The sequence below is a fragment of the Homo sapiens genome, chromosome 4 (assembly GCF_000001405.40).
Source record: "Homo sapiens chromosome 4, GRCh38.p14 Primary Assembly".
Lineage (NCBI taxonomy): Eukaryota > Metazoa > Chordata > Mammalia > Primates > Hominidae > Homo > Homo sapiens.
The window spans coordinates 6253770-6266422 of record NC_000004.12 but is presented as its reverse complement, the minus strand read 5'-3'; the positions used below and the strand labels follow the sequence as shown (position 1 = coordinate 6266422).

The window sequence follows — 12653 nt, the reverse complement described above, 5'->3', positions numbered from 1 at the left end:
GTAATCCTAGCCCTTTGGGAGGCCGAGGTGGGTGGATCACTTGAGGTCAGCAGTTCGAGACCAGCCTGGCCAACATGGAGAAACCCCATCTCTACTAAAAATACAAAAAAATTAGCCGGGCGTCATGGCACATGCCTGTAATCCCAGCTACACAGGAGGCTGAGGCAGGAGAATCGCTTGATCCCAGGAACTGGAGGTTGCAGTGAGCAGAGATCATGCCACTGCACTCCAGCCTGGGCGACAGAGTAAAACTCTGTCTCAAAAATAATAAGAATAATAATAAAATAAATAAAAATTAAAAAATATAAACATTTAGTGACATCCTGCCTGTTCCAGGCATTGGACTACATGCCAAGTATTCAAAGAAAATGAGGACAGAGGCTTGGTGAGTTGTCATTTGAAAGACAGCAGAGTGTGGCGGTTTACAGGCTATTGGTGTACAAGGCCCCCAAAGAGATCACTTCCTGGAGCCTGTGAATGGTACCTTATTTAGAAAAGGGTTTTTGCAGATGTGATTAAGGATTTTGAGAAGGGGCCATTAGCCTGGCTTATCTCCTTGCAGGAGAGAGGCAGACAGAGATTTGACCACACACGGAGAAGTTGATGTGGACATAGAGCAGAGAGAGATTCCAAGACGCTGGCATTGAAGATAGGAATTATGTGGCCACAAGTCAAGGAATGCAGGCAGTCCCTGGAATCTGGAAGAGCAGGGAACAGATTCTCCTTGATTTTTGCCCAGTGACACTGATTTCAGACTTCCGGCCTTCATAACTGTGGCAGAATCCATTTCTGTGGTTTAAGCTACTGAGTGTGGCAATGAGTTTTTAGCCCACTGGGTTAATGAGATAAGAACAACATGGGCCAGGCATGGTGGCTCACGCCTGTGATCCCAGCACTTTGGGAGGCCTGGAGGTGGGGGGTGGATCACCTGAGGTCGGGAGTTTGAGACCAGCCTGACCAACATGGTGAAACCCCGTCTCTACTAAAAATACAAAATTAGCCGGGCTTGATGGCGCATGCCCGTAATCCCAGCTACTCGGGAAGCTGAGGTTGCGGTGAGCCAAGATCACACCATTGCACTCTAGCCTGGGCAACAAGAGCGAAACTCCATCACACACAAAAAACAACAACAAAAAAACAACATGTGCGGCTGGTTGGGCATGGTAGCGCACACCTGTCATCCCAGCACTTTGGGAGGCCAAGCCAGGGGGATTGCTTGGGCCCAGAAGTTCAAGACCAGCCTAGGCAACATGGCAAAAACCCATCTCCACAAAAAAATTTAAAAATCAGCCAGACGTGGTGGCATGTGCCCATAGTCCCAGCTACTCAGGAAGCTGAAATGGGAGGATTGCTTGAACTGGGGAGTTTGAGGCTGCAGTGAGCCAAGATTGCACCACTGCACTCCAGCCTGGGCATCAGAGTGAGACCCTGTCTCAAAAGAAGAGAAGAGAAGAGAAGAGAAAAGAAAAGAAAAAGTAAAAGAGATAAGGAAAGAAAAAGTAAAAGAGATAAGAATAGAAAAGAACAGAACATGTTTGGGCATGTCGGCCACACATTGGACTTCTAGCACAGCGAAACCCTAGGACTAGCCTTGTCAGCATCCCTGGGAGCCAGGCCCAGGAATCTGCATTTTAACAGGTTCCTGGGGGGTTTGTGAGACATAGGAACATTTGAGACCCATGAGTATAAAGCAGTGTGGTTCATAGTGTGATGGGTCCACCAGACCAGCAACATCAGCATCCAGCATTCCTCAGTCACCTGGACGCCTGTTACGAATGCAGAATCCCGCGCCAACCATGGACCTCCTCAGTCAGAATTTGCATTTTAATAAGATGCCCTTGGGATTTGCATGCACATTAAGGTTGGAGCCAGTGGTGGCATATGCCTGTAGTCCCAGGTACTCGGGAGGCTTGGGCAGGAGGATTGCTTGAGCCCAGGAGTTCAAGACCACCCTGGATGACATAGTGAGACCCTGTTTCTAAATAAATAAATAAAGCAAGCTAGAGAAGCCATGCTGCAAGCTGGAGGTGCTTAGCTCAGGCTATGCACATAGCGCCACCTGGAGAGCTTGTCCTGCCCAGGCCAGCTGGACCAGAAGTCTGCATTCTATGGGGAGTCCTGGATAGGGGTGCAGCAGAGGAACCGCATGGGTGCCTTTGCAATTTAGCAAGGTCTGGAGCTCACTCAGGCCATGTGCCCCATCCACTGCCTCTTTCCTGAGGCCATCCCACCAGGCCTTGACCACATCTAAGGTAGGAAGCTCTCTTTGCTGCTATACCCCGACAGATCTTCCTAACACAATGTGACACACGGGGCAGCCTCCCTCACTGTCCGAGGGTCTGAGGGTATGGAAGCTTCCCAGGATCACACACCCTGCAGCTGCTGGGCCGTAGAGCCTCTGGGCTCCCACCCCCCTCCTTCGTCCTCTCCCACTTCCCTGCTCATATCCCACCCTGGGCCCACCACTCCTCCCTCCTTCCCAGTGTTCCCTTTATAAACCTGAGTTCCCTGCCCACTCTACAGTCTCCTTGGAATCACAGCCCAAGTGGCTGGAGTTGTGGCTGGTGGGGGTGTCGTGGGGGGCTCGGTGCTGGTCACACGGCTCTGTGTCACCAGGGCTGGTGCCACATCAGAGGCCTACGCCTGCCAGCACCTCCACACACACCCCCGTGCACACACCCACCTGCCACACACACACACTGCATTGTCGCCGGGTAGTTCTGAGCCCTCCCATGGGTCTGAGTGGTGATGTGCTCATCTCTGAAGGCAGAGAGCGAACGCCACTTCACAGCCCACAGACGAGTCACCAAGTGCACTGGGAAGTTTCATTTGGGGAATTAAAAAAAAAAAAAAGCCAGGATGCAAAAGCAACTTTGAGGCAGAAGAAGGAAAATGCCCGTGTGGGGAGAGACGCTGTTCCCAGGCCTGCCTGTGTCCCAGTCATGCCCCTACATCACTGAGCAGTGCCAGCTGAGATCCCCCACCTCCCCCAGCCCTCACCTTCGAAATGGGCCCAGCCTGCCCTGGATGCAGGGAGACCATGACAGCAGCCAGCATGGGGCCTGGGCACAGGTCTCAGGTCCCAGGGCTGTGTCACCAGGACTGGACACAGGACACGGCAGCAGCAGGGGCCTCATTTGCTAAGTACATCAATGTGCCCACACCGTGCAGCTGTCATTTCATGCTGAGTCTCTCTTACAAATGTCAGTCACTGGCAGGAAGGGGCAATCGTTCAACACCTGCTACCCGCTCCCTCACAGGTCTCACTGGGTGCCCTGGTGTGAGGTGGAAGGGTCTAAGGCACACAGCCCCGTACCTGCCCTGGAGGGGCTTGTTAGGTCCGGAAGCTGGAAACCCCAGCCACTGTTATTCTGGGGAGGGGCTAACCAGAGGAGAAGTGATGACAGCCTGCGGATTCCTGGCAGGGGGAGAAATTGCAGCAGGTGATGGTGGTCAGGGACGGCTCCCTGGAGGAGGTGCTGGCTTTATTCTGCCCCCTACTCCCCCCAGGTTTTTTTTTGAGATAGGGTCTCACTCCGTTGGAATGTAGTGGTGTGATCTTCCTAGGCTCAGGTGATCCTCCTACCTCAGCCTCCAAAGTAGCTGGGACTACAGGCACACACCACCACATCTAGCTACTTTTTGTATTTTCTGTAGAGAAGGGGTTTTGCCATGTTGCCCAAGCTGGTCTTGAACTCCTGAGCTCAAGTGATCCTCCCATCTCTCTCTGCCCCCCAAAAGTGCCAGGAGTACAGGTGTGAGCCCCCACACCCAGCCGCCCCCTACCCCTTTTTAATAGACCTTATTTCTAAGGGCAGTTTGGGATTCCCAGCAAAGCTGAGTGGAAAGTGCAGACAGTTCCCGTAGATCCCACACCTCCCCATGCAAAGCCTCCCCACACCTGTTCCAATGGATAACCTGCATTGACACATTGCTATCTCCTAGAGCGCAGCATTTACATCGGGGTCCACCCTGGGCATTGTGCATTCTGTGGGTTTGGAAAAATGTAGAATGACGTGGACCACCACTGCAGCATCATACAGAGCAGCGTCACTGTCCTAAGGCTCTTGACACTCCACTGCTTCATCCCTCCCTCCCGCTGCCTCCTGGCAACAACTGATCTTTTCCCAATCTCCATGGTTGTGCCCTGTCCGGAATGTCACAGAGTTGGAACGGTGCAGTGCGTAGACTTTTCAGCTTGGCTCCCTTCACTCCGTGATATGCGGCTCAGTTTCCTCCGTGGCTTTCCATGGCTTGATAACTCATTTCTCTTTATTGCTGAGTAATAGTCCATTGTCTGGATGGACCACAGCTTACGTATCCACTTATGTATCTACTCACCTCCCGAAGGACACGGTGATTGCTTCCAAGAGGCACTGACTTTAAATCAGGGAACTGAGCATGGGGAGGGGCTATGACACGCTTAGGCAATGTCGTTAGACCTGGAGCAACTCATTGGACCTCCCTGGGCGTCAACTCAGTAAATCCTTTGCCCCAAAGGGTTATTGGGAAGACCTGGGAGCTAACCTGCGTGGACGTGGAATTGGTGGACATCAGCTTCCTCCATAACCACACCACAGACCATTACCATCCCTTCCTGAATACTGATTACACCTGGTGGCCCATTAAATCCACCTGACAACCTGGGAGGTAGGATCGTCCTCAGGCTATAGACCAGGAACCAGAGGCTCTGAGAGGTTGAGTCCTGTGCCCATGGCCACTCTGGGTCACCTCTTTGGTCCGACGGCCTCCAATCTCTGCTGCAATGCCACCCCACACTTACCCATGTCTGAAACCCAGCAAGCTCCCTTCTGCGTTTCAGGTGGCTGTAAAGAAGATAACACACAGGTCACAAAAGATGTTTTCTTAGACAAACACCCCCGAGGTGTGGTTTGGGGTGGGGGGGCATTTGCAACATCTCCTCACTTCTTTTTTTTTTTCTTTCTTTCTTTCTTTTTTTTTGAGACAGAGTCTTGTTCTGTCACCCAGGCTAGAGTGCAGTGGCATGATCTCGGTTCACCACAACCTCAGCCTCCTGGGAACAAGCAATCCTCCCACTTCAGCATCCCAGCCACCCTGTAGCTGGGACTACAGGCACACTCCACCATTCCCAGCTAATTTTTTTTTTTTTTTGGTATTTTTTTGTAGAGATGAGGTCTTACATGTTGCCCAGGCTGGTCTTGAACTCCTGGGCTCAAGCAATCCAACTGCCTCAGCCACCCAAACTGCTGGGATTACAGGCAATAGCCACCACGCCTGGCCTCCTCCCTCACTTCTTTCAGCCCTGAGTCCCTCCTGTGATCGTTTCAAAACCCAGAGCTAGGCCAGGCACGGTGGCTCACGCCTGTAATCCCAGCACTTTGGGAGGCTGAGGCAGGCGGATCATGAGGTCAAGAGATCGAGACCATTCTGGCCAACATGGTGAAACCCCATCTTTACTAAAAATACAAAGATTAACTGGGAATGGTGGCATGCACCTTTAGTCTCAGCTACTCAGGAGGCTGAGGCAAGAGAATCATTTGAATCCAGGAGGTGGAGGTTGCAGTGAGCCAAGATCACGCCAATGCACACCAGCCTGGTGACAGAGCAAGACTCTGTCTCAAAAAAAAAAAAAAAAAAAAAAAAAACCACACAAAAAAAGCCAGAGCTGGTGGGAGAGGGAACTTCTTGTTCACTTTAGCAGGAAACAATAGAACAAAATTTTAGGCATCACGGCACTTAGGAAATGTCAAGAAGAGCCAAAAATTACCCAACTCAAAATCCTCCCCAAAACTTTCCGGACACCTGCTTGGCTTGGTAGCAGTGATCAGAATAGCACAGCTCCACGTTGCCATAGAGACGGGCAGAGAAAGTGGGGGGCAGGGTGGGGAGCACTTTTGATGTTTGTGGGAGCAATTTGAACAGTTTTAGCGAAGGAGATATTGTTTTTGACAATCTTTAGAAATATAAATTACCCAGAAGCTTGCCGTGATCACAGATCATTGTTTTCCTTAATTGTTCGATACAATGGAAGCTGCCAGACTCTGGTTGCAACTTGCTTTGTGAAATGCCAAAGAGCTTCTGGTAAGAGAAAGAGAAGAAACTTGGGTATAGGAATTCTCTTGGCACTTTCTCTAGGGCTGCTGTTCTGGTGGGATCCAAAATGCTACGTGAACTCGTTTCAAGTTTTTCCTGGGGAAAGTGTAGTCCTGGTGGCGATTCTTGATTCTACTTACCTTTGTCCTGCCCCAGTGCAGGGACTACAGGCTGGCACCTTGAGAGCTCATCTTCTTTTTCCCTGAGCAAAGAGGGACAGTCTGGCCTGACATCTGTGCAGAGAACCTGCCTGGAGAGACACTGGGGGCCCAAGACATGCTGAGCTTTGAGGGCAGCACGGGCAGGTATTTTCGGAATGAGGCTCAGGGTGGCAAGTGCAGAGCATGGACGGTGAGGTCCGGAGATGGACTGCGAGGGGCTGGGGAAAGGGTGACACTGGAGCTCAGTCTTAAAGAAAGAATAGCTATCAGGTGGGTTCTATCACTCCCCCTATTTTATGGTTCAGGAAACCATACTGCCTTGTCCGGGGTCAGGTGGTAGTTGATAGAGGCGAATTCATGCCCAGCCTGACCCACTCTTTTTTTTTTTTTTTTTTTTTGAGACAGAGTCGCCCAGGCTGGAGTGCAGTGGTGCAAGCTCGGCTTACTGCAAGTTCCACCTCCCGGGGTCACGCCATTCTCCTGCCTCAGCCTCCCGAGTAGCTGGGACTACAGGCGCCCGCCACCGCGCCTGGCTAACTTTTTGTATTTTTAGTAGAGAGGGGGTTTCACCGTGTTAGCCAGGATGGTCTTGATCTCCTGACCTTGTGATCCGCCCGCCTCGGCCTCCCAAAGTGCTGGGATTACAGGCGTGAGCCACCGCGCCCGGCCTCTTTTTTTTTTTTTTTTTTTTTTGAGATGGAGTCTTGCTCTATCTGCCAGGCTGGAGTGCAGCCGCGCGATCTTGGCTCACTGCAACCTCCACCTCCCGAGTTCAAGCAATTCTTATGCCTCAGCCTCCCAAGTAGCTGGCGCTGGCCCCCACGATCAGCTAATTTTGTATTTTTAGTAGAGATGGAGTTTCACCATGTTGGCCAGGCTGGTCATGAACTCCTGACCTCAGGTGATCTGCCCGCCTCGGCCTCCCAAAGTGCTGGGATTACAAGCATGAGCCACCGTGCCAGGCCCAGCCTGACCCACTCTTGATGGCTCAGAGCCTCCTGTGAGAATCAAATAGAATCGATCTTTTGCAGCTGAGGCTCAGAAAGGTTAAGACGCTTGTTCAAGGCCACAGAGCCAAGGACCAAATGTTGTCTTCTCCCTCCTGGCGGGGAGCTCTGTGCCTGCAGACACACCCTGACCTGGTACCAGCTTGTTATCAACCTGCCACATTTTAGACTGCTGCCTCTGAGGCCCCTCTGGGAGTTGAATGACGGGTGAATGTTTCACATCAGTGCACCTGGGCATGTGTCTCTATGTTGGCCTTGCTTTGGAACTTGCACAGCGGTTATCTTGTATGACCAGATGGAGTCAGACCTTCCTGAAGGTGAGATAAGATCTGTGTGCACATCTGCCTTCTCCCCACACCTCTGGGCCAGGGAAGGGCTATTGAACTGAATTGCAGAAGGGCTTTGCAAATTATAAAGTGCTTATAAGGCCAGGCTTGATGGCTCACACCTGTAATCCCAGCACTTTGGGAGGCCAAGGAGGGCAGATCACTTGAGGTCAGGAGTTCGAGACCAGCCTGGCCAACATGGTGAAACCCCTCCCTCCACATCTCTACTAAAAATACAAAAATTAACTAGGCATGGTGATGCGCACCTGTAGTCCCAGCACTTTGGGAGGCCAAGGCGGGAGAATCACTTGAGGTCGGGAGTTCGAGACCAGCCTGGCCAACATGGTGATACCCATCTCTACTAAAATTACAAAAATCAGCCGGGCATAGTGGCACACGCTTGTAGTCCCAGCTACTCGAGAGGCTGAGGCATGAGAATTGCTTGAACCTGGGAGGAGGAGACTGCAGTGAGCTTTTACCACTGCACTCCAGACTGGGTGAGAAAGCAAGACTCTGTCTCAAAAAATTAAAAAAAAATAAATAAAAAAGTGCTTATAAAACTTCTTGACTATAACGATTAAGATTGGTACCGCCTGAGGAACAATTGAGCTCTTTGTCAGAAAGCTGAGAGCATCATTATCAGGAATTTCTCACAAAATGAGAAAGTCGTGAGAAGTAACTGTGGGAAGCACCGACTCCAGCCTGGAGGAGAGATGGCTTGCAGGGGTGTGAGCCACCAGCTGGCCTTTGTGCTCACTGCGCACCCTGGAGCACCCTTCCCCAGCCCTCCTATGGCTGTTCCAGGCCCCTGCTCCAGGTCATCTTAGAGGGGAATTCTCTGACAGCCCTGACTCCCCAAGGCTGTGATCTCTCTGCCATTTCTTTTGTCCACAGGCCTGGTCACGGTCCTGAGGTTGTTTGTATTATTACTTGTTGAAATGAAGGAATGAATGAATGAATGAATGAATGCTTTCACATCCTCCACACAGCAGTCCAAATGACATCAATCCCATCATGTCACTCTCTTGCTTAAAACCCTCCAAAGACTTCCTGATGCACTTAGAAGAAAATGCCCACTCCTTCCTGTGGCCTCCGAGAGTGACCCTCCCCGCTGAGCTCAGGCCCCTCTCTGCCCCTCCCACCCACTCAGCCACACCGGCCTCCTTCCTGTCCCCTGAACACACCAAGCTCTTTCCCAGCCCAGAGCCTTCGTCCATGCTATTCTCTCTGCCCAGAGTCCCTGCTTCACGAAGGCGCCCACTCTCAGCCCTCCTTCCCCACCCTCACACAGCGTCCTCTCCTGCTGCCCTCCACCGCACCCTCCCACCCCTGCTCAATGCAGGCGCTCTTGGTCTCCCTTGTTTGTGTTTTGTTCGTGTCTTTGCCTGTGAATTGCCTCTTCCTCTTTCTCCGTTCCTGGCCTGCACATGACTCACCCGCTGGTTTCTGCCCCTCGCTGGTGGTGCCCTGGCTGCCGTAACAAAGCGCCACAATGAGTGGCTTCGGCCAACAGAAATGCACTCTCCCAAACAGTCCTAGGGTCAGGAGTCTGCAACCCAGGTGTGGGCGGGGTTGGCTCCTTCCTGGGTCCTTGCTTCTCTCCTGGCTTCGCTGGTTGCTGGCGGTCTTTGTGGCAGCATCGCTCCCATCGCGTCTCCGTTGTTCCACAGTCTTCCTTGTCTCTGTTTATATGGCATTAGCTTCTCTGTGTCTGTATCCAGTTTCCTCTTCTGTTTTTATTTTTTTTTTTTCTGAGACAGAATCTCGCTCTGTCTCTCAGGCTGGAGTGCAGTGCCGCAATCTTGGCTCACTGCGACCTCCGCCTCCTGGGTTCAAGCAATTCTCCTGCCTCAGCCTCCTGAGTAGCTGGGATTACAGGCATCCGCCACCACGCCTGGCTAGTTTTTCTATTTTTAGTAGAGATGGGTTTTCACCATGTTGGCCAGGCTGGTCTTGAACTCCCGACCTCAGCCTGCCTTAGCCTCTGAAAGTGCTGGGATTATAGGCGTGAGCTACTGTGCCCGCCTCCTCTTCTTAAAAGGGCACCAGTCCTCAGAGTAGGGCCCCTCCTAGCTGCTACAGGTGGTGAGACAGACATGAGCAGGGCAGGAGAAGGCTTCCCCAACCCACTAGGAATGTCAGGGTATTGCCGCCGGTCACATAATGAACTCATCTTCCCTTGCTTACCTCTTCCAAGACCCTATTTCCAAATGAGGTCATATTCTGAGGCTCTAAGTGGGCATGGATTTAGGGGGCCATTCAACTAGTACACCTACTGTCCCTAGCAACCAGTCCAGGGTATCTATTGATTGATCAATGAATGAATCAGATAATCACTGTGACCTGAGGAGGGTGAGAGGTGACTGGGAGGGCCCGCACTCCCACCTTTCCTTGTTTCTCGAACCACTGGGCTTCCCGGTCAGCCTCGGGTCAGCCTGGAGGGCAGAGGTCAGCAGCATCCCAGAAACGCAGGTCCCAGGGCAGCAGCCTTACCAGAGGGTGACTCCAGGTCACTGGGCCGGCTGTGGCCTCATGTCTGGCAGGGGCTGGATGATCATCTTGCCAGCTTTGCAGAGCACCTTCAGGTGCCGGATGGATGAACAGAACCTCAGAGCCTTTCTCGCTCCAAGGCTGTGTGATTTTTCAACATCACAACCCCAGCCAGGTACGGTGGCTCACACCTGTAATCCCAGTGCTTTGGGAAGCCAAGCTGGGAGGATCGCTTGAGCCCAAGAGTTTCAGACTACCCTGAGCAACACAATGAGACCACGTCTGTATTAGTCCATTTTCACACTACTGTAAAGAATTGCCCAAGGCTGGGTAATTTATAAAGGAAATAGGTTTAATTGACTCACAGTTCAGCATGGCCGGAGAGGCCTACAATCACGGTGGAAGGTGAAGGGGAAGCAAGGCACCTTCTTCACAAGGCAGCAGGAAGGAGAAGCACTGAGCGAAGGGAGAAGAGCCCCCTATAGAACCATCAGATCTCAAAGAACTCACTCACCGTGACGAGAACAGCATGGGGGAAACGGTCCCCATGATCCAATCACCTCCCTGGTCTCTCCCTCGACATGTGACGATTATGGAGATTACAGTTCAAGATGAGATTTGGGTGGGGACACAAAGCCTAACCATATCACCGTCTCTACAAAAAATATAAATACATAAATAATTAATTAGCCAGCATGGTGGCCCACACCTGTAGTCCCAGCTACTCTAGAGACTGAGGCTGGAGGATCACTGGAGCCCAGGAGTTCAAGGCTACAGTGAGCTATGATTGCACCACTGCACTCCAGCCTGGGTGACAGCTCCCAGTGCCCTCACCGTGCGTGTGACTATGTGACTGCTTCTCACCAATGGGAAGCCTGGGAAATGATGAGTCCCACTTCTGCGCTATGGGTTTAAAGAAGACTCTACCGTCTCTACACAGTCATCCTCCAACTGCCAGCCAGGAGTGGGCTCTCCGAGGCCCTGGGGAGAGTGATACCACAGGCTGGATGCAGGTTGGATCCCTGAGTCACCATGTGGAGGAAGGTGGCCCATCAACCAGGAGTACCAGCTTGCACTGTTAGGGAACAAAAATGAACTTCTGTTTGCCAAGCTCCTGCAATCTGGGGTTGATTTGTTGCCGCAGCTAGCTTTGCCCCATCTGACACACAGACAAGCCTGACTTCAATCCCGGTCTCACCCTCTGCTAGCCAGCTTGCCTTGGGCAAGTGCCTTTCCTCCTCCCAACCTTGGTTTCCCCATCTGTAACACAGTAGTAATATCTGCCTCCAAAGGCTGCTGTGAGGAGTACATACGGTAACTAATCCAGGCGCAGTGATCAGCACAAAAGCTGGCACCCAGTAAGCAGCCTTAACCAAAGTTAATTTCCCTCTCTGCAGAACCCACACCTTTCCCGGGCCACCACACACCCTCTGCCACTCCTCCACTGGGGGCCAGACATGACTGCACACACTCACATAGGGCTTTTGTGGAGCTGACTAGGAATTATCTGAATAACTCAATGTCTAACAATAAACCAAGAGGCACTCACAGTTATTGAAAGGAGACCAGAATGACAAACGTATTCTTGGCCTCTCTCTAGGGCATGCTGAACCCCAAAATAAGCATTCTTCCAAGTCTCTGCACTGGTAATTCTCAAACATTAGTGTGCAAACGCATCTCTTGGAGATAGTGTTACATTGCAGATTCTATGTCAGTAGGGCTTAGGGGCTGCAATCTTGCTGCTCAAAGTGCCATCTGTGGACCAGTGGTGCCAGCATCACCAAGGATGAGCTAGAAATGCAATCTTGGGCCCTGCCCTGGACCTGCCCATGGGAATGTGCATGTTAACCCAACCCCCATCTGATTCCTGAGCACAGTCACATTTGAGTCCTGTGCTCTAAAGTGACAGAGTTCAGACTTTGAGAGTCTGAATGAGGCAAGGTAAGGATTTTCATAGCTCTGAGAGAGGGTTCTCCTGAGAGGGGACAGACATGGCGTTTGCACGGACTCACACGCTGTGGTATGAGACACATGATCACACTCACTCATTTCTCTCATAAATCTTCACTTCCTTAGAACCTACCCTCCCGTTAGACACTAGCTGTGTCTTCTTCAGCCTGACGGTCCTCTCCGGAAGGTGCGCGTCTGTCTCTCAGCCCAATTCAAAGAGGTGGGAGAGGCGGCCACAGCCTCTGTCGGCCTGCTGGGCACCTGGGGCTATAGAAGAGGGACCGAGGCTCAGCGAGATTAAGTGACCACATCCCACAGCTACTATGGCTGCTGCAGGATTTGAATTTAGGACGATCTCGCTGGGCCCTACTCCCAGCGAGACAAATTAACACAAAGCCCCAGGGAGACAAATTAACCCAAACCCCTGGAAGAATTTTAAAAGCAGAAGCTCAAGCCCCCCACCCCAACACAGATTTTGATTCCGTTGGTCTGGGTGAGGCTACCCAGAAGGCCCTGCTGGGTGGCTTGGGGGCCTGTGCAGAAGGCCAGGTGCACTGCTCCATGATGGCAAAACCAGCCCAGCTCCCTGCTCTCTTGCAAGGGCTCAGCATCTGGTACCAGAGCAGGAGATGCTCACAAGTGAG

The 12653-nt window shown here is 51.9% G+C and overlaps 2 annotated features.

Annotated features, from left to right (window-relative positions):
• Positions 791 to 1990: an enhancer, noted in NCBI's record as "BRD4-independent group 4 enhancer chr4:6266160-6267359 (GRCh37/hg19 assembly coordinates)". NCBI's record gives its function as "activates an origin of replication core promoter dependent on BRD2, P300/CBP, MED14 and CDK7 cofactors, and independent of BRD4, by STARR-seq in HCT116 cells {active_cell/tissue: HCT116}" and the evidence as "EXISTENCE:reporter gene assay evidence [ECO:0000049][PMID:35650434]".
• Positions 2779 to 3557: an enhancer, noted in NCBI's record as "H3K4me1 hESC enhancer chr4:6264593-6265371 (GRCh37/hg19 assembly coordinates)". NCBI's record gives its function as "activates a minimal SCP1, AML or CMV promoter by ChIP-STARR-seq in naive H9 embryonic stem cells {active_cell/tissue: H9 hESC(naive)}" and the evidence as "EXISTENCE:reporter gene assay evidence [ECO:0000049][PMID:30033119]".